Source organism: Homo sapiens, chromosome 3, assembly GCF_000001405.40.
Source record: "Homo sapiens chromosome 3, GRCh38.p14 Primary Assembly".
In the NCBI taxonomy this organism is placed as follows: Eukaryota; Metazoa; Chordata; class Mammalia; order Primates; family Hominidae; genus Homo; species Homo sapiens.
In genome coordinates this window covers 63,834,372-63,856,625 of record NC_000003.12, presented here as the reverse complement: position 1 = coordinate 63,856,625, position 22,254 = coordinate 63,834,372, and the positions used below count along the sequence as shown (strand labels likewise).

At 38.6% G+C, this 22,254-nt stretch overlaps 2 protein-coding genes across 5 annotated transcripts in view; one reads left to right on the top strand and one right to left on the bottom strand.

Moving 5' to 3' along the window:
• The window catches only part of THOC7 (THO complex subunit 7), a 30,615-nt gene that overhangs the window by 7,859 nt on the left and 502 nt on the right, over positions 1-22,254 (top strand). For 3 of the 4 annotated variants that reach the window (XM_006713339.4, NM_025075.4, NM_001285404.2), the window contains exons 2-7: positions 16,853-16,970; positions 18,127-18,254; positions 18,564-18,650; positions 20,268-20,325; positions 21,236-21,302; positions 21,403-21,472. In XM_006713339.4, the coding sequence (XP_006713402.1) occupies positions 18,146-18,254; positions 18,564-18,650; positions 20,268-20,325; positions 21,236-21,302; positions 21,403-21,472 (391 nt within the window). In that variant the 5' untranslated portion in view covers positions 16,853-16,970; positions 18,127-18,145. The remainder of the gene's footprint in view (positions 1-16,852; positions 16,971-18,126; positions 18,255-18,563; positions 18,651-20,267; positions 20,326-21,235; positions 21,303-21,402; positions 21,473-22,254) is intronic. The other variant, NM_001285387.3, reaches the window with a different exon arrangement.
• Positions 7,990-22,254, bottom strand: part of C3orf49 (chromosome 3 open reading frame 49) — a 68,930-nt gene continuing 54,665 nt past the window's right edge. The window contains exons 6-7 of the mRNA NM_001355236.2: positions 11,544-11,603; positions 7,990-8,262 (exon numbers count right to left, since the gene is read on the bottom strand). Of these exons, the coding sequence (NP_001342165.1) occupies positions 11,574-11,603 (30 nt within the window). The 3' untranslated portion in view covers positions 7,990-8,262; positions 11,544-11,573. The remainder of the gene's footprint in view (positions 8,263-11,543; positions 11,604-22,254) is intronic.

The following is a 22,254-nucleotide window of genomic DNA, read 5'->3' as shown; positions in this document are numbered from 1 at the left end:
ACCAGTGGGTATATATGCTTGAAAATTTTATACAGTCATTTACACACTGGTCTGTATTCAACTTCTGTGTACCCATAAAATTTTTTTTAAGTGATATAGTAGGTGCGTATATTTATGGGGTACATGAGATATTTTGATACATGCATACAATGCAAAATAATCACAGCAGGGTAGATAGGATATCCATTGTCTTCAAGCATTTATCATTTGTTATAAACATTCTAGTTATGCTCTTTTAGTTGGTATAAAATGTGCAATAAATTATTGTTGACTATAATCATCCTATTGTGCTATCAAATACTAGATCCTATTCACTCTATGTTTTTGTACTAATTAAGCATCCCCGCCCCTCCCCTGCCACCACACACCCCACAGCTCTTCCCAGCCTCTCGTAACCATCTCTATTTTCTACCTCCATGAGTTCAGTTGTTTCAATTTTTAGCTTATCATGGAGCTCTTTTGAATATAAATCTACCTTATTCTTTTATATCAGTGTGTATAGTCTATTAATTTTTTAGACAGATCCTCTATTGGCATTTAGTTTGTTTTCAGTTTTTTACTCTTCCAAACAGTGTTACAATGGAGATATTTGCATAGATATATTCGCGTACTTGTGGGAATAATTTCTAAAAGATAAGTCAAAAGGTATATGTGTCTTTAATTTTGGTATATCTTGCTGTAATGCCTTAGTAGCTAGCTGTTTTCCCCACTATAATCCTGTCTGAAATTGTTATCCCTTCCTGTGGCTTTCAGTTTGGTACCTACCAAATTTTTTGCCAAACTGCATTTAGAAAGGAAATGCTAATCCTCACTGGTAGATCACAGGATTACTAGTTCACAAAGGCAGGTGAGATTGCAGCCTTCCCTCAAAGGGAACCACATTTGACCTGCAATTTAGCCTTAGCAAGGAGTTACATAACAATGATGCTATTGCCTCTGGTTGTCAAGCCTTGACCTGTCTCTGAAGTTGTTTTGTAATCAAGGTTTTAATGGCAAATATAGGGAAAGAACAATTATGAATTTTGAAAACGTTAGTCTGGGTTTATGAGAAACTCCCTTTTATGCTAAAATGAGAGCACAGCTAAAATGGCTGTGTCATCTGACCAGAGGCCTAGAAATCTAGAGTTGCTCTAGTAACTGTAAAGGAGTCATTTCTTCCTGCCTCTATGTTTATGAAACATAGAGTTTTAAGATCTAAGGACTTTTTGAGGCTTATTTGGTGTCTTGAATAATTTTATATTTCTTCTGGCTATATGTTGGCATATATGTATCCCATTTTGCAAGTAAATATTTACATTTCAGCATAAATGTGTCATTACTGATTTTAAACTGATTTTGAAAGATATTTTGTATGTGCAATTATGGTATAACGAAATCCAGTAGGAAGTCATAAGTTCTAGAATTGTGATAATAGTCTACTGTTAAACCAATCCTGTTTTTTTATGTTTTCAGTGGTTAACATTTAGGCATATTGGATATGAGGCATTTTGATGAGCAAATATGTATCTCATGCCCCTGCCTCATAGACAGTATACTCTAGACAATGTGTGGTCATATTACTCACTAATTAATACGTGAAGTTAATTGCTGCCTCCTTTTCTTTCTTTTTTTTTTTTTTGAGACGGAGTCTCGCTCTGTCGCCCAGGCTGGAGTGCAGTGGCGGGATCTCGGCTCACTGCAAGCTCCGCCTCCCGGGTTCACGCCATTCTCCTGCCTCAGCCTCCCAAGTAGCTGGGACTACAGGCGCCCGCCACTACGCCCGGCTAATTTTTTGTATTTTTAGTAGAGACGGGGTTTCAGCGTTTTAGCCGGGATGGTCTCGATCTCCTGACCTCGTGATCCGCCCGCCTCGGCCTCACAAAGTGCTGGGATTACAGGCGTGAGCCACCGCGCCCGGCCCTCCTTTTCTTGACTCAGATTCACACTCCACAGTCTTTCCAGGAGCTAGATGGATGGTATTATCCAGCCATTGTCCTACAAGCCTAAAGCCAGGTGGAAAACCACCATCCTCACAGCAGGTGTCAAGTATTTTGGTTTAGAAACTCTTTCCAGATGATGTTCATCCTCATAGTAAAGAAAGTAATTATGACAAGGAGTGATGTTGATAACATAAAAAAAATAACAAAAAATCTGCTAAGCCATCTTTACTGTTTTTACAGGATAGACCAAAGCCCAGCAGAATTACTAATATAAGCATTCAAACTGCTTACAGAGGGTTTCAAGCATGATAATTTGTGAAGTCAACATGTATAGTAAACAAAACATATTTTAAGTGTGTTCATTATGGAGCTAATTGATAAGATGTCATTAAAAATAATAATGCTCATGGCATTTGTGTTAGGAACTATCAGCAGCAGTCCATCTTTAAATTTAAAAAGAACAGAGGCTATTCTCAAACTGAGAGCTTACCTTTTTGTTTTATTCTGTTTCTGTTGGAGCTGTGCTCTGTACTTTATACATGTTATTTCAATAATTCTTGTCCACAGAGTTTTCTAGGCAGCAACTCTCTGTGCACAATTTCAGCTAGAAACGCCATGACCTTCCCAGTAAATTTGAGACAGAAGCAAATTTGTAAGGAATCCTAACTGGGCAAAACTTGATATGCATAAATGCCTAATATGTATCTACATAGATATATCTATAGATAAATCTTCAACATTTACTCTGACTTTTATAGGATGATACAAGTTGTGGATTAAATTTTTTTTTTTTTTTTTTGAGACGGAGTCTCGCTTTGTCACCCAGCCTGGAGTGCAGTGGCGCGACCTTGGCTCACTGCAAGCTCCACCTCCCGGGTTCACGCCATTCTCCTGCCTCAGCTTCCCGAATAGCTGGGACTACAGGCGCCCGCCACTATGCCCGGCTAATTTTTTGTATTTTCAGTACAGACAGGGTTTCACCGCGTTAGCCAGGATGGTCTCGATCTCCTGACCTCGTGATCCTCCCGCCTTGGCCTCCCAAAGTGCTGGGATTACAGGCGTGAGCCATAGTGCCCGGCCGTGAATTAAATTTAACATAAACATAAGGATAACATATTTTTTGTTTTCGTACTATAGACAGACATTGTGCTCCTTTGTATACTTTTATTTCCCTTAAGTTTCCCAATATTTCTATAAAGTAGATAGTTTTATTCCCATTTTACAGATGAAATCAGATGTTGGTCTTACGTGAATATACACACATGCACACACAGTAAACATTGGGTCCAGTTTTTGTTTTGTTTCGTTTTTCTGGTCTAGGCAGTTGGCTGTGAGGTGTGCTTAGACTAAAGAGGGAGAGGGCTGAGTGGGAGGAGGGCCTGTGAATGCCTGGACAGGGAATTCCCTGTGCTGCCAGAACTAGTGGTGCCACACTCCTACTTGTGCCACCCCAATGTTGGCATTGGCCCCTGTTTTTTCCTAACCAAGTCATCTGCTCAGTCCTAACCTGCCTTCTAGGACCTGTGATTCTTTTTTTTTTTTTTTTTTTCTTTTTTGAGACAGAGTCTCATTCTGCCACCCGGGCTAGAGTGCAGTGGCGAGATCTAGGCTCACTGCAAACTCCACCTCCTGGATTCAAGCAATTCTCCTGTCTCAGCCTCCCGAGTAGCTGCGATTACAGGTGCGTGCCACCACGCCCAGCTAATTTTTGTATTTTTAGGAGAGACAGGGCTTCAACATTTTGGCCAGCCTGGTCTCAAACTCCTGACCTCAAGTGATCTGCCCACCTTGGGCTCTCAAAATGCTGGGATTATAGGCATGAGCCATCGTGCCCAGCCAGGACCTGTGATTCTAATCTCTCCTTTTTAGTTCAGGCCATGTTAGCTCCTAACTGTGTATGCTTTGGTAGCCTCCTAACTAGCCTCCCTGCCTCTGGGCTTTTCCCAGTTACAATCCAGTTTGTACATCCTCCTAAAAATTCTGGCCCATGAATCTTTAGCAACTCCCAGTTTCCTACCAGCAAGATGTACAAGTATAGTATTTACTGGTGTGACTCCCAAAATCTGACTCCCAACTGCTTGTATATCTTTGGGTCCTGCTATTTGTCTTCACTCATCCAGCCTCCCTAGTGTTCTACACACTCATGCCCCAGCTTCAGCCTTTCATTCCCCACCCAGCCTCTGCTAGAGCACAGCTTTCTCCCTGCCTGGGGTGAGAAGAAGGAAAGGACTTCAGCTTTCTTTTTTAACAACAGCTAACAAGTTTTGAGTACATATGGTTCAAAAATCAAATACTATAAAAAGATAATCTCCAATCTTCCAGTCTGTTCCCCATCCACCCCACTTATACTGCCTTCTCTCTTGGTGTAACCCCTTTTATTAGTTTTTTGTATATCCTTCCAGGGTATCTATACTGCTCAGCACTGCACTAGTAGGGACTCCTTGTGCCCCTTTGACGGGTCTCTGTCTGGGCTTCTAGGCTGTCCACAGCATCCTTTGAAATCTAGGCGGATCTCTTGGAAGGTCAGAGAACAACTTGCATTCTGCATGCCTGCAGAATTAGCGTCATGTAGATGCTACCAAGTTTTATGGCTGTATCTTCCCAAGTAGTAAGTCAAGCTGCACTTGGGCCTTCTTGAACCACAACTGGGGTGGCCGAGGAGCACTGTGCCAGAATGCAGGGAGCAGAGACCCAAGGTAGCTCTGGGCAGCAAACCTATGGAGGGCACCCTAGGTCAGTCCTCCAAAACCATTCTACCCGCCTATAGTTCTGGGCCTGGGTCTGTGGTGGGAGGGACAGACTTGAAGGTTATTTTTTAGTTTAAAGATCTCAATTGGCTTTATTCTCGATTCTAGAATTGGGCCAGACATCATTCCATAAAATAGAATAAGTGTTCCAATAAGCCGAGGAGCAGAGGCTGGCTTTATATACAGAGAAGGGCTAAAGAACGTAGAAGCACAGAACAGACAGCATATTAGTCATTTCAAAGCTACTCTTCTTGTAAGTTGGGGACAGAGAGGCCAACGATAGAAAAATAACTAATTAGTTAACATGAGGTTATTTCAGCCTACCTTTTTTGTAGAGAAGCAAGGACTAAAGTAGAAGGAACTTCATTATTATACCCACGGAAGATTTAAACTGGCCTCTTTGGGAAATTAGCTGTTATTCTCTTCTGATCTCTTACAAGGTTGGGTAACGACTTAGTCTAGGTTTGGTGACATGGAACTTTAGCATGGGTGACTCCATTTTGATTTTTAGTCTGGTCCATTGGGACATAGTACAAGAACTTAGTCCAAAACAATGGCCTCCTGTAATTTTTATTTGACAGTTTTCCCTTTTGGTCAGGTTGTTATGTAGGTGAGAGTGTAACCAAAACTTAGGTCATCAGTACTATCAGTTGCCATCATTCTGAGTTTCTAGTCTCAGCATGTGTTTATAGCTTATTGTGTCCTCCCCATTATTATAAGTTTGTTTGAGTTTTTGTTGTTCCAGCTAAAGACATACCATTTGATGCTTGACAGATGGCTCTCTGGAAACATTTAAAACTTTTTGAGAAGATACAGTACACCAGGGAGACTACTGTTGTGATTAGCAGGTGGAAAACATGAAGAGTTTGGAGCTTTCTCCTTAGCCAGGATTCCCATGAGCCAAACCAACTAAAATCAAATAACTAGATGAGGAGTCTACATGTTTTAACAAAGTAATCTGCTCTACAATACCCAATGTATTTATGTGCAACAAGAAATATCAGTTGCACAGATGGATCCCTGTTTAATTAATTGATATCTAGCCTCCCATGACTATCTTAAATTAAAGCAGAGGTCAGGTGCAGTGGCTCACGCCTGTAATCCCAACACTTTGGGAGTCTGAGGGAGGTGAATTGCTGAGGTCACGAGTTTTTGAGACCAGCCTAACCAACATGGTGAAACTCCATCTCTATTAAAATACAAAATTTAGCTGGGCGTGGTGGTAGGCACCTGTAATCCCAGCTACTAGAGAGGCTGAGGCAGGAGAATTGCTTGAACCCAGGAGGCAGAGGTTGCAGTGAGCCGAGATTGTGCCACTGTACTCCAGGCTGGGCGACAGAGCGAGACTCGTCTCAAAAAAAAAAAAAAAAAAAAGGAAAGAAAGAAAGATAAATTGCACAGATTGCTCCTTGTTTAGTTGGTAATCTAGTATCCCATGACTATCTTAAATTAAAGCAGAGGCCAGGCATGGTGACTCACGCTTGTAATCCCAGCACTTTGGGAGGCCAAGGTGGGTGGATCATTTGAGGTCAGGAGTTTGAGACCAGCCTGGCCAAAATGGTGAAACCCTGACTCTCCTAAAAATAGAAAAATTAGCTGGGTGTGGTGGTACGTGCCTATAATCCCAGCTACTTGTGAGGCTGAGACAGGGTTATTGCTTGAACCCGGGAGGCAGAGGTTGCAGTGAGCCGAGATCACACCACCGCACTCTAGCCTGGGCAATGGGAGTGAAACTCCATCTCTAAGTAAATAAATAAATAAAAGCCGGCAGTCCCAAATTACTTCTAGGAATTACTGATTGTGAAACTGTATAGCATTATCTAGTCAAGGGAAAGAAGTAGGCATAAATAAGGAATAATTAAGAGGAGTAAGAGTCTTCTTATGATGGGGAGTCTTATTCCAATGGTCTTGGGAAAAGTTGTCCCCAGCATGAAGTCAACAACTTCTCATCCTGATTTGCAGTTTGATTGTCTCTGGTGTGACATCAGGCATTCTGGTGAATTCTCTATGTGGCACATGTATCAGGTATGAGATATCTCCCTTGAAATTTACATCGAGTTGTCCAGCTTTTGCTTATAGGGCTTGAGAAACAGCCGTTTTTGTTATTTGAGAGTCTTAGCCAGATATTAGAGAAAACTAGAAGAATTCAGAATCCAGTCTAGTCTACTAGTGAAAAAAGGAGAAAAAGAAAAAAGAAAAGCAAAAACAATGAGCCAGGCTACAATCTAATAACAAGGCCACTATAACTTTTTTTAACGTAATTTTTTTCTCTACATTCACCCTCATTTCTACAAAAGATAATCACAGACCAATTTGCCTGATTATTTATAAAAGTGCAGCAAGAATAACTACATAGCCGTCTTTTAAATTTGCTTTGCTGCAAACTTTGACAAGGAATCTCAGATTAGAATTTTAGAAACCTCTCAATGTTAGGAAGCCAAATGAAGGCACACATCAGACTTTGCCTGCTGTATCTAGTACCTTGAGGTTCATGGGCCTGCCAGGAAGTGACAACCTTTACTCATTCACTATAAAGCTGAGAATCCTTGAAGCTAGGCATTCTTGTTTTTTTGAGATGGTGTCTTACTCTGTCACCCAGGCTAGAGGGCAGTGACGCAGTCTTGGCCCGCTGCAACCTCCGCCTCCTGGGTTCAAGCAATTGTCCTGCCTCAGCCTCCTGAGTAGTTGGTATTACAGGCTCATGCCACCACACTCGGCCAATTTATTGTATTTTTAGTAGAGACAGGGTTTCACCATGTTGGCCAGGCTGGTCTTGAACTCCTGACCTCAGATGATCCACCCGCCTTGGCCTCCAAAGTGCTGGGATTACAGGCGTGAGCCACCATGCCCAGGTGAAGCTAGGCATTCTAAGAACATTTTCAAATATGGTATTCCTGTCAGAGCCTTGATAATATAACCACTGTTTCCAATTGTATCCTGTTAAAGAGAACAGATTCTTTGTTGAACTTATGCAGACAACCAAATTGCCGTAAAAATAACAGTACTAACAAATAGTTTCCAAATTCTGGAGATATCATCAGGTAGAAAGAAAAAGCAAATGTTTCTGTTTTTATTCATAAAAGTATGCTTTACCAAATTGCTGTAAGCTATAGATAGCTTTTAAAAAAAGAAGTTTCCTTAAATCTGTAAAACAAAATATTAAAAAAAACAGCAATGTTTCAAATAAAGAAGCCATGAAAACCCATAGTTTTTATTTATCAGTTCAATCAGTCTCATGTAATTAATTCGTGCTCTGTTTGATCTTGGTTAGCAGTTTTACAAACCCATCAAATTTGTCAACCAAAAAGTATCTGAGACAAGTCTTAATCAATTTAGGAGTTTATTTTGCCAAGGTTAAAGACATGCCACAGCATCAGGAGGTCCTGAGATGTGCCGAAGGTGGTTGAATTACAGCTGATTTTATGCATTTTAGGGGGACAGAAGTTACAGGCAGACATCAATGAATACACGTAAGATGTATATTGGTTCAGTACAGAAAAGCAGGACAGCTTGAAGGTGGGGGGTGGGAAGGACTTCCAGCTCATAGGTGGAGTCGATTTTCTGATTGGTAATTGGTTAAGTTATTGTCTGAAGACCTGGAATCAATAGAAAGGAATTTCTGGGTTGAAATAAGGGGTTGTGGAGGCCAAGGTTCTGACACAGATGAAACCTCCAGCTAGCAGGCTTCACAGAGAATAGATGGTAAATATTTCTTATCAGACTTAAAAAGGTGCCAGACTCTTAATCTCTCCTGGATCAGGAAAAGACCTGGAAAGGGAAGGGGATTCTCCACAGAATGTAGATTTATGAGACAACTTTGCAGGGCCATTTTTAAATACATCAAAGAAATATATTTCAGAGTAAAATACTTCAATTTATTTCAATGTCTGCTGTCATGTGATGTATCTTATTGGTACAAAGAGTCTGTTTGGTCAGTCTTAAGATCTCTGTTTTAATGTTCATGCTGGTCAGTTGTGCCTGAATTCTAGAAGGAGGGTGTAATGAGGCATTCTGACCCCACCCCCATTCCCATCATGGCCTAAACTAGTTTTTCAGGTTTACTTTGGAAAGCCCTTGGCCTATTGAATGGGTGTCCATTCAATTGGCTGGAGGGCTTAGAATTTTATTTTTGGTTTACAGTTTCTTCATTAAACTTTTGGAAATTTTGTCCAATGGTATAAACTAAAAGTTATGTCAGAGTTTGTTTTTTTTGTTTGTTTTTTGAGACAGAGTCTCACTCTGTTGCCCAGACTGGAGTGCAGTTGCACGATCTTGGCTCACTGCAACCTCTGCCTCCTGGGTTCAAGCAATTCTCCTTCCTCAGCCTCCTGAGTAGCTGGGATTACAGGCACGCAACCCCACACCCGGCTAATTTTTGTATTTTTGGTAGAAACAGGGTTTCGCCTTGTTGGCCAGCCTGGTCTCGACTCCTAACCTCAAGTGATCCGCTCGCCTCTGCCTCCCAAAGTGCTGGGATTACAGGCGTGAGCCACTGCACCCGGCCTTCTTTTCATTCTTCTGATATAGCTTTTTGGAGACACAGCACTTTAGGATTATAATTGCTTGCAGAAAGCTTTCATAAAAGGCATTAGAACCAAAACAATTAACTGTGGACAACATGACTTAAAATGGCCATGGTTAAAACCTGATGAGAGTTCATTAAAATAATGATGAAATTGACAAGGAAATTTGGTTATTTTTCAACCAAAATTATGACTGATAGCATTTATACCAATACATACCAGATTTATAGGAACTTTTTTTATCACAGGGTGGGTGGGAAGCCTGATTTTAGGGGCTTTCCTAGAAATTTTTTTTAGCAGTCCTTTTTCCAATGTCCTGGTTATTTGCACAAGTGGTGGTACTTCCTATTCGCCTACGCAATTCTTCGATCCATTCCCAACAAACTAGGAGGCGTTCTAGCCCTCCTACTAGTGAATTTTTGGAAACTGCTGTTTTAGGGATTGCTTATTTGGGGAAGCACCCTAGGACAGGCCCAAATGTCATTCTAGGTTGCTGGTTGTCATGGAGCTGAAATACTTGGGGAATGGCTTTTCAAACTGTAATTTGCAGTCTTTTGGGTTTTGCCTGACCCATAAGTAGATCGGACGGGACTTGTTGGGTACTTGATAGAATTCTCAGGAGACTATCATTCTGCCTCTTTCATCCATGTGGGGCTCCCTAGAGTACACCAACACATATACTAGTTGGTACAGATCAAGTATACTGGGGTTATAAATTACCAGTAAGGCCAAGCACGGTGGCTCATGCCTATAATTCCCGCACTTTAGGAGGCCGAGGTGGGTGGATCACCTGAGGTCAGGAGTTTGAGAACCAGCCTGGCCAACATGGTAAAACCACGTCTCTACTAAAACTACAAAAAAATTAGCCTGGCGTGGTGGTGGGTGCCTGTAATCCCAGCTACTTGGGAGGCTGAGGCAGGAGAATAGCTTGAACCCAGGAGACGAAGGTTGTGGTGAGCCAAGATTGCGCCCTTGCACTCCAGCCTGGGCAACAAGAGTGAAACTCCGTCTAAAAAAAATAAAAATTTTTAAATAATAAGTTACTAGTAAGACCCTGAATTCTTCAGAAAACTTGTGAAATTTTTCTCTAGGTTTAGGAAAATCTTGAACTGTGGCCCTGAAGTCCATTTTTGTCCAGGGAGTGCAAGTCGCTTGGGGATTATCTCCTGATTTTTCAGACGATTCTCTTATAAGGAAACTGTTTAACTGCTTTTTTCAGGGAAGAAAGGCAATTCAGACAAAGCAGACTGAATATTTAGTAGTAGATTGTAAATATTCAGGCAAAGAAAGAGAGAGAGAGGCAGTAGGAGTTACATCAGTTTTACCATCCTTGGTAAGGGAATATCTTCCATTTCCAGCTTTTCATTAGCTCTTTACAGTGAATCTTTTTAAAAGGTGATTTTAGAGGACTGTCTCTTTGAGGCTTCTGAATGCCAATAAGAATTTTGTTCTCTCTGCATAATTTGGGAGGCTCGGGGTTCGAGTGCACTTCTTAGATGAATAGTCTTTTTCATGTGGAACATTCCATGTAATGGCATCATAATTCTGAATTATCTTTTGTAAGATTTTGCCATTTGTAAATATTTGTAGCTTCCAGAACCAGAAACCTTATACACAAAAAAGGCAGACTGGCCAGAAGGGAGGGTACTCAGATCTTTAGAAATTAAAGAAACCATTTTATGTTGGATATTGGGTCTTCCAAAGCCAAAATGGCTTTGGCTTTGAGATCGCCTTGACCAACTTAGCTAATGACATTTCAGTTTCTTTTTTGTCTGACCCAGTCAGATGCCTGAGGCCTCCCTCATCTAAACATGTAAGAAAAAAAGAACACACATACCTATGAATTCCAAAAGCCAGAGTTCATGTCCCCCTCCACCTCATGGTAATAACCACTTACTGTGACTGCCGTTGGTTACCTTTACTACTGCAGCCCTTTATGGTAGCCACAGAGAGTGTAACGCACATTTCCCTCTGGTCATATGCTGGTCACCAATGGGATGCAACCCGTATTTCTGTCCAGCCACATTCTTCAGGGCTTGACCCAAGCCTTTTATGGCATCATGCATGAGATATCACCAGAGTGGGAGCCGAAACAATGTAGTCATTGCCAGTGACTTGTCAGCCACTATGAACCCAGAAGTCATGTGCCCTGCCACAGTACAAACTAACCCTAGGTACCCCAAAGTCAAATGTCCTCTCATAGCACAAACTAATCTTGATACCCCCAAAGCCAAAGATATCAGCGAGCTTAAATACTTAAAGAGAGCAGAGCTCAGATCTGAGGGGGACTTAACCCTCAGGGCTACATGAAGGAGATAGTACCCCCCACCCCCAGAAAAGAAGGTTAGCATCACCTTTTCCTGTGTTCCTCAAGGAGTCTCAGGTCAGCTGTCTCCAGGTCCTTTTGTGGTCATCTGTCAAGAGACAAAATTACAACAAATGTAAAGATCTCAATTGTCTTTATTTATGATTCTAGACTTGGGCAACACTTGCCGCTTCCACATTTTCAGGTATTATAGCAACAGCCACACTGCCAGTACAATTTTCCGTCTTACTCTGTTTTCCAAGGCTGTAATAGAATACCAGAGAATGGGTAATTTATAAGCAATAAAAGTTTATTTGACTTATGGTTCTAGAGGGTGGGAAATTCAAGATCAAAGGGCCAAATCTGGTGAGGGTCTTCTTGCTGTGTCATAACATGGCAAAAGGTATCACATGGCAAAGGAGAGTGTGAGATGGAGAAAAGAAATGGAGCTGAACTCACCCTTTTATCAGGAGCTCACTCCGAGATTACTAACCTATTTCCACAATAGCTGCATAAGCCTGTTCATCAGGGCACAGTCCTAATGACCTGATCACTTCTTCAGTCACCTCTTCAAGGTTCCCCCTGTTAATACTGGCACGATGGCAATTAAACTTCCTTCTTTTTTATGTATTTATTTTAAAATGACAGATAACATTGTGTATTTTTGTCATGTACAGTATGATGTGTTGGAGTATATATACATTGTGGAATGGTTAACTAGCTAATTAACAAATGCATTACCTCACAGAGTTATCATTTTTGTGGTGAGAGCATATCACATTCACTCTTTTTACATTTTTCAAGAATATACTATATCATCATTAACTATAGTCACCTTGCTGTACAATTAGGTCTCTTGAAATTTATTGCTCTTGCCTAACTGTAAGTATGTATCTTTTGACTAACATTTCCCCAACCTCCTTCTCCCTAGCCACCCCAGCCTTTGGTAACCACCATTATACTCTCTATTTCTGTGAGACCACCTTTTTTAGATTCCATATGTAAGTGTGATCATGCATTATTTATCTCTCTGTGCCTGCCTTATTTCACCTAGCATAATGTTCTCTAGGTTCATCCATGTAGTTGAAATGACAGGATGTCCTCCTTTTTATGGTTGAATAGTATTTCATTGTTTATGTATGTATGTGTATGTGTAACACATATTTGTGTGTGTAACACATACACACATATATATATACACACACATCCACAGTTTTGTTTTTTTTTTTCTGAGACGGAGTCTCACTCTGTCGCCCAGGCTGGAGTGCAGTGGCGTGATCTCGGTTCACTGCAAGCTCCGCCTCCCGGGTTCACGCCATTCTCCTGCCTCAGCCTTCTGAGTAGCTGGGACTACAGGCACCAGCCACCATGCCTGGCTAATATTTTTGTATTTTTAGTGGAGACAGAGTTTCACTGTGTTAGCCAGGATGGTCTCGATCTCCTGACCTCGTGATGCGCCCACCTTGGCCTCCCAAAGTGCTGGGATTACAGGCGTGAGCCACCACGCCCAGCCCACATTTTTTTTAATTCATTCATCTGTTGGTAAACACCCAAATTGATTCCATACCTTGGCTATTGTGAATAAGGCTGCTATAAACGTTGGAGTGCAGATACCTCTTTGACATACTGATTTTATTTCCTTTGGACACATAACCAGTAGTGGGATTGCTGGATCATATGGTAGTTCCATTTTTAATTTTAAAAGAATTATTGAGGCCTGGCACAGTGGCTCATGCCTGTAATCCCAGCACTTTGAGAGGCCGAGGTAGGCGGATCATTTGAGGTCAGAAGTTTGAGACCAGCCTGGCCAAGATGGTTAAACCCCATCTCTACTGGAAATACAAAATTAGCTGGGCATGGTGGCACATGCCTGTAATCCCAGCTGCTCGGAAGGCTGAGGCAAGAGAATCGCTTGAACCCAGGAGATAGAGGTTGCAGTAAGCCGAGATCATGCCACTGTACTCTAGCCTGGATGAAAGAGTGAGACTCTGTCTCCAAACAAACAAACAAACAAACAAATATACATACGGTTTTTGGAGGGGTTGGGGCAGGCACAGAGGCTCATGCCTGTAATTCCAGCACTTGGGAGGTTGAGGCATGTGGATCACTTGAGTTCAGTAGTTTGAGACCAGCCTGGGCAGCATGGTGAAACTCTGTCTCTATAAAAAAAAAAAATACAAAAATTAGCTAGGCATGATGGCCTGCATGTGTAGTCACAGCTACTTGGGAGGCTGAGGTAGGAGGCTGGCTTGAACCCAGTAGGTGGAGGTTGCAGTGAGCCGAGATCATGCCACTGCATTCCAGCCAGATCAGTGGTGAATTCTGATATTTTAGTGCACCTGTCACCCGGGTAGTGTACTACACAAGTGTGTACTTATACCCAGTGTACCCAATGTAGTTTTTTTTTCCCTCACCCCTCTCCCAGCCTCCATCTTCTTAATCTCCAGAGTCCATTATGTCACTCTGTATGTTTTGGTGTCCTCATAGCTTAGCTCCCACTTATAAGTGAGAACATATGGTATTTGATTTTCCATTCCTGAGTTACTTCACTTAGAATAATGGCCTCCAGCTCCATCCAGGTTGCTGCAGAAGACACTATTTCATTCCTTTTTATGGCTGAGTAGTATTCCATGGTGTATAGATACCACATTTTCTTTATTCACTCATTGATCAGTGGACACTTAGGTTGTGAATTCTCCAGCTCATATTTTCAGTTTTTTGAGGACTCTTCATTTTGTTTTCCATAATACCTGTACTAATTTACATTCCACCAATAGTGTATAAGGGTTCTGCTTTCTCCACATCCTCACCAACACTTGTTATTGTTTGTCTTTTTGATAATAGCCTCTCTCAGTGGGGTGAGCTAGTATCTCACTGTGGTTTTGATTTGCATTTCCCTGATTAGTGATGTTGAGAATTTTTTCATATACCTGTTGGCCATTTGTATGTCTTCTTTTGAGAAGTGTCTATTCAGGTCATTTCAATGGCTGTTAAATTTCAACATGAGTTTTGGAGGGGACATTCAAACCACAGCATCAAACTTTAATCTCTCTTAGATCTATTAATATTTTTTCCTCTCAATCAGGGCACTCACTCCCCAGGTTGCCTTAGATGTTGTTTTCCTATTACTTTAATGTATTTACATTTGAAATCCCCAGTCCTCAATACAGTTGGAGATCCAGGCATGTAGCAAAAAAAATGGTATTTCTTGGAGACTTGAGAAGAACACAGATAAGACTAGCAAAGGAACTGTTGAATACCATCAGTGCCACCAGATTCACCCACTAGATGCTTCTTTTTAATAAACTTAAAACATTTGTAGTAAGAAAATTCTATTAGTATTTATTTCCTGCATTTTAATCTCTTCAAGGACTATGTTTTATTTGTCTCAGTCTCTTCAGATAATAATGTTGGTGGTTAAAAAACCGAAAGCATTAGTTTGTATTTTTAAAATATAAAATTAAAACACTTGATGAATATGTAGCTTGAGCAGTCTGTCAAAGCCATGACTCTGAGAACCAAACCCAATTCTAAAAATGTTTATCTGATATTATCACAATATATTTTAAAACTGGAGCCATCTGCCTTCCAAAGTTTATCTCCGCTGCACCTGCGCTCAAAAATACTTCTGCCTACACACAGGAACTATTGTTTAAAGATTTTGCTGTTGATTCAGCATGGAGGCTCTCCAGGAATTATTCACACTTTAAAATTTATTTTAAAAAATAATTACTGCGTACTATAAAAAACAAAACAGAAAACCCCCCAAATTCTACAAAGACATGCAGGAAAATTATCTTTTCCCACCTCTATCTGTAGTCCCTCTTACCAGAAATAACCGCTATTACAAGTTTCTTGTGGATCTGTCCAAGGATAGTCTCTGAATACACACATGCATGTGTGATACACATGCACACACGCAAAGCCTCCTTTTTCCACACATATGGCAACATATTGTATATGCTTTTCTACACCTGTTTTGTTTTCATTTTACTTAATGTATCTAAGGAGAGTTTTTTGGTATCAGTATATCTGCACTATTCTTTTGGCTCATACTATTACATTATGTGAATGTTTCATCATTTAACCAGTTTCTTACTGATGAATAGGTTTGCAATCTTTCTACTATAAACAGTACCACTAAGAACATCCCTTTATGTCTGTCTTTGTGCATGAGTGCACTTCTATAGGACAAACTTCTAGAATTGGAATTATGGGGTCAGAATGGTAGTGTGTTTTTAATTTTATTTGTTATTGTTCAGTGGCCCTACAAAGAATTACCAGTTTGCATTTTATTAGTGTATAAAAGTGCAGTTTTCTAACACCCTTGCCAACAGTTTTATCAGATCTTTTGCCAATCTGATAGTTGAAAAATGACGTTTTACTGTGGTTTTAACTTGCCTTGCTCTTGTTACGATCCAGCATCATTTTGTCCAGGAAAGAACACTAGCTCAGGACTGCCAGGCAGACAGATTTGGACCCCACTTGTTGGCCATCATTGTCATCTGTATTTTTTTATTTTTTATTTTTTTCTTTGGAGACAGCATCTCGCTTTGTTGCCAATAGGCGCTGGAGTCCAGTGGTGAGATCATGGCTCAATGCAGCCTTGATCTCCGAGGCTCAAGTGATCCTCCTACCTCAGCCTCCCAAGTTACTGGGACTAACAGGCACATGCCACCACACCCAGCTAATTTTTATTTTTTGTAGAGTCAGAGTCTCACTGTGTTGGTCAGGCTGGTCTCAAACTCCTGGGCTCAAGTGATACTCCCTTAGCCACCCCACCCAGCCTTAAATTATATGTTTATCTAACAAATCCATTCCTTTTTCCCTCACCCATCTCATTTTTTTTTCCTAGTTTGCCACTACATCTTTTAAATATTTCCTGTCTATTCCTTTTGTCAGTGCTTCTCAACAGCCAGAGACATTAACATTTGGAGTTCTGTCTGTCTGGGCAGGTTATTTCACAAAAGGTTCTCTATGAATTATTGGCTTATTTCCTTGATTGTACCTGAAAATTATTTCCACTCAACAACCCAGTAGACTGCCAACTCTGTAACGATGTCTTTTCACTGCTATTACTCCAGCCCCTAGAATAGTACCTGACACACAATAGTCATGCAATAACTTTCTTTTTTCTTTAGTATATAAATATTTTTTATTATATACAATAACATAAACTATGCATAACATAAAATTTACCATTTTAGCTAGCCATTTTTAAGTGTACAGTTCAGTGGCATTAAATGCATTTACATTTCAATAATTTTCTTTTGAATAAACAAATGAACAGTGATACTGGTTATTTGTACTTGAAAGTTACCAAGAGCCAGATGGTAACATTGCCCTTCTTTCCTGCAGACGAAGTTATACGGAAGCGTCTCCTCATTGATGGAGATGGTGCTGGAGATGATCGGAGAATTAATCTGCTAGTGAAGAGTTTCATTAAATGGTGCAACTCTGGGTCCCAGGAAGAGGGGTATTTCATTTTCACTGTTGTTTCCATACCAGTGTCCTAATGTGATTTTAGGCCCTATATTAAGGTCCTGTGAGTAGATCAAATTTTCACTCACCTTAAATGTACAGTGGAGTCAACTCTTAATTAACCAAGAGTAGATTTTCTTGGCCTTTTCTTCTCTTCAAAGGCCTCTCATATGTTTATTAAAACATGGAGAAGGCAGATTGGTAAGGAGAAATGAAGATTAAATTCAGACTCATTAGTTTGGTTACTTTTAGGACATAAGTGTTTAGTAAGATAAAATATCTAAATGGAATTTTCTCCTTTGCTAATAAAAGGCTGCTGCTATGTATGTATATATTAAGTTGGTGCAAAATTAATCGTGATTTCTGCCATTAACTTTAATGGCAGAAATGGCAGAAACCACGATTACTTTTGTACCAACCTGATACACACGCACACACGTATATCTAATCTTTTTTTTTGTGAGACAGAGTCTCATTCTGTTGTTCAGGCTGGAGTGCAATGGCACAATCTTGGCTCACTGCAACCTCCGCCCCCCAGGTTCAAGCAGTACTCGTGCCTCAACCTCCTGAGTAGCTGGGATTATAGGCATGCAACACCATGACTGACTAATTTTTGTATTTTAGTAGAGATGGGGTTTCACCATGTTGGCCAGGCTGGTGTCAAACTTCTAGCATTAAGTGATCTGCCCACCTTGGCTTCCCAAAATTCCAGAATTACAGGCATGAGCTACCACGCCTAACTATATTTATTTATTTTTTAACATAGCAAACTTTTTCTCATTTGAATTTGCTTTCCATATAAATAATTTTATAGAGTGAAAAAATTGTGGGAACAGAATTGTGAAGTTAAAAAAACATCTTAAAGTATTTCTAAAGTCTTTTAAACAAAATTCAAATAATTGTTTGAATAAAATGTGCATTGATAAGAACAACAATCCCACCTTTGCATTTGTAACTAAAGTAGTTAAATTCAAGAATACTACATTTGATAAAAAGAAAACTTAAGGGACAGATATTCTAAATTTTAAATAAGCAAATGATTCTCTCAGAACTTGCTATAATTTAATTAGCAAATATTTGTCTGCATTATAACAGTTCACTTTTGTCAGTCCACAAATATCTTTATTTTGGTTTTCTTTCTTTTTCATTAGATATAGCCAGTACCAACGTATGCTGAGCACGCTGTCTCAATGTGAATTTTCAATGGGCAAAACTTTACTAGTATATGATATGAATCTCAGAGAAATGGAAAATTATGAAAAAATTTACAAGGAAATAGGTAAAGAATCTTAATGTTTCTATCTGTAATTTTATTTTTTATGGTCTAAAGGAAACAATACCTGCTAACAATTTTCTTTGGTGGTAAAAGAATAATAACAATTACTGTATTAATGGAAAGAATACAGTAAATGTTAGCTATAAAAAATGTGTATTCTAAGATGATATAGTACTTTGGGTTACAGCTATTTTTTAAAAATACTAGTGTCTATTTTGTTACCAATAGAGGTTAATTTATAAATGCGTTTTAAAATTAAAAATGGATTATTGATTTTGTTACAACTATCTTTTAAAAAACCTTCTCATATAGAATGTAGCATAGCTGGAGCACATGAAAAAATTGCTGAGTGCAAAAAGCAAATTCTTCAAGCAAAACGAATACGAAAAAATCGCCAAGGTAAGGGTTTTGAGGGATTTAATGTGCAAATACATTATTACTGACTACAGTTTTCATGCAGTTTTTAATGTTGTGAGGTAAAATCTGCAGCCTGAATCAACCTGGATTAAAAAAAATCCAAATTTTAATTCCTTAAAACTATATTATTCTTTAAAATAGAGAAGGAAGTCTGTGTTGAGAAGAATGTTTTTGCTGGATTACATTGATTATCCAAGTATTTCTTTTCTGTTTTTCTCTTTTTTTTTCTTATCCCAGTATTTCTTAAGTATTAAATTTTTACCATCTTGGACCCTTTTGCCTAAATAATGTTATGGTTAATCAGCAGAGGCAATTTACATAAATATACTAGATTTATGGTTTGGGTTTTTTGTTTGTTTGTTTAATAGAGCTACTTTCCAAAAAATGAAATGGAAAAGAATTTAAACTCTGAGTTTTCATTAAGTACAAAGCAAGCAAACATTTCTAGACTGCCTAGAATATCTAATAAGAAGGTTAAAGTTGAGTTTTGTTATAATCTCTTGTTTTTAAGTTAGAGTATACCCTTATGTAGTTCCTAAATACTATTTCAAGATAATTTTTAATGTTAGAGGCACTGCTCTTCTTATAATGTAAATTGAAGAAAAGTAAAAATAAAAAATATAATGTGTAATCACAACTGTTACATTGATATGAAAAACTAGAAGAAAATAGAAAATGTTAATGGTTATTTTGAAGTTGTGGGTTTTTATGGCTTAGGTTCTTTTCTCTGTTTTTGTGTTGTTTTGTTTTGTTTTACATAGGGCATGTATTATTTTGTAATTCAAAAAATTTGTATCCAAAAGAATCATACTTTGAATTAATATGCTCAGTTCTAAAACAATGAATTTTCACTTTTTAATGAACTAATTAAGATGAAGCTTAATTTCCTCTTTTTACAAGTTTTTTTTTTCAGTTTAAAATGTGTATGGTGAAGTTTTGGTGCCTTATTTACAGTAACATATACCAACTTAGTATCAGTTCTAAAGTCATCTAAAAATATTTTGCAGTGTTTTCGTTGGTTAATGAGGCTTTTAAGTAAATCCTGCCACTCATCACTTCATAAGAAAGCTTAACAGGAGTTACATGACTTATCTTGGAGGTCTCAGTGGAGCAGAAAATAGAACCTGAATTTTAAGTTATTTGCAAGTTTCTGAAATCTTAACTTTTGGAATGAGTGAGAAGTGTAATTTGCTGTTGACTAACAACTCAGATTAATGGTAGGATATATTCACTGATTGTATTTTATTTTATTTTACTTTTTGGACAACTAGTGAGTAAGATCCTTCTCAGAATCAGTCTATTTGATAATCAATAATAACTTAAATTTGCTTATGCTTATGCTGACCTCTTACGTTCTGTCCAGGACATATAAATGGAAAAAAAGTGGGAGCTAAAACCCCTGTTTGGAACACTTTTGATGTTATGTATCGTTATAATTATAACTCAGTTAACTAAAACTGGCAATACTCATCTTTCAGTGATTTCATTTCTTGATGTACTAGGAAAGTGATTAGGAGAGGTTTGTGATATTACACATTTTGTTTTGATAATTCACATTCAAAAAATCCTTAGTTTGATAAATATTTTTATGTCTTACAGAATATGATGCTTTGGCAAAAGTGATTCAGCACCATCCAGACAGGCATGAGACATTAAAGTAAGTGTAGAGCTTTACTTTGAAAGGAACTAACCTTTATACATAAATGCTCGAAAACTACCGTAGGCATTTCATTTTTGCAGAAATAAATATGTTTCAAAAGGAGGGGTCAGATATTCAATATTATATTTTCCCATACTTCTCTGTTAGATTTTATTTTCCTCTAACCTTACCAGCTATATGTCTAAAATAAATGCATATAATATGCATCAATATCACAATGGATAAATAGAATATGGTCTTCATATATTAAAATATTGAATTTCAGTTAAAAAGAATAAACTAGTTATGCCCTTTTAAAACACAGCTCTCAAAACATAATCAGTGAAAAGACACATAATAAACTTTAAATTATATTTAAATTCCTGAAACACATACAGAATAATAACCATTTATAAAAGTTAGAACCCCCTTTCAAATATTATATACCAATACTGTGTATTATTCAGGGATACAAGTATATGCATAAAAAAGAATAAGAATGATATAGTAGTTGCCTGAGTGGGAGGTAGAGGAGATAAAAAGGCCCAGGATAGAGGACTAGGCGTAAGATTCAAAGGGTATTTCGAGTTAATTGGCAATGTTTTATTTCTTTTACCAAAATAAAAAACCCTCGAAGTTAAACTTCACAATATGTATCATTTCTTGGGTCTTGTTATTCTGTTATCTGTATTTTTCTGTACTTTAAAAATGGATCCAAAAATGTAATTTTAATGAAAGTGAGTCCATATTTAGAAGTTAAGAAGAAATCATCCTCAGCTTTAAAAGTTTCACCATAATGGAGTGTTATAACTCCTTATAAGCCCTTTTTTTATTTTAAAAATCCTATCTAGTAACTTAAAAGTTAGGCATTAATTGTAAACTCTTCTCCCCCATTCAGCAAAATGTAACACTGTTTTATTATTTCCAGGGAACTAGAGGCTCTGGGAAAAGAATTAGAGCATCTTTCACACATTAAAGAAAGTGTTGAAGATAAGGTATTCGCATATATATTTAGCCTTCATGATCTGTCTATCTGTCTGTCTATATATCTATATATACAGGTCATTTGTATAAATTTTTTTCTTGTTAACACAGCTGGAATTGAGACGGAAACAGTTTCATGTTCTTCTTAGTACCATCCATGAACTTCAGCAAACATTGGAAAGTAAGTAGAAATAGTCTCAAAGTAAATGCTTATGAAGATTTTTTAAATGACCCAGGGATGTACCTTTTGAAATATACATCTTGGAGAGACAGTATACCTTCAATTTCTGAACAGTGTAGCTGGATGACGTTAGAAGGTACTCATGTTCAACTTTCTTGAATACATGTAGAAAAGTCTTAATTTGTAGTAATATAGGATTTAAACATATACATAGTGGTTTAAATTAAGAAAAATTCAAGGATGATAGATTTGGAATCTTTCTTGGTTCACTGTAGTTGACTACTATAATATAACAACTCAGGACCCAGGCAGGCAATAATAAGAAATCAGTACATACGAACATTTGCATACCCACTGAGTAGTGGGTGCTTTGGGGAACTGGAGACTTGCTCTTTATATTCACTATAGGCAAGTGGAAATTTTTGTGTTACCTGATCTTCTGATTGTTTTAAAGAATAGCCTAAGACCCATTTTTTCTTTTCTTTTTTTTTTTTTTAAGACAGTCTTGCTCTGTCACCCAGGCTGGAGTGCAGTGGCACAATCTTGGCTCACTGCAATCCTCACCTTGCAGGCTCAAGTGATTCTCCTGCCTCAGCCTCCCTAGTAGCTGGAATTACAGGTGCATGCCACCACACCCAGCTAATTTTAGTATTTTTAGTAGAGACGGGGTTTTACCATGTAGGCCAGGCTGGTCTTGAATTCCTGACCTCAGGTGATCCACCTGCCTTGGCCTCCCAAAGTGCTGGGATTATAGGCATGAGCCACCAGACCCTGCCTGGATT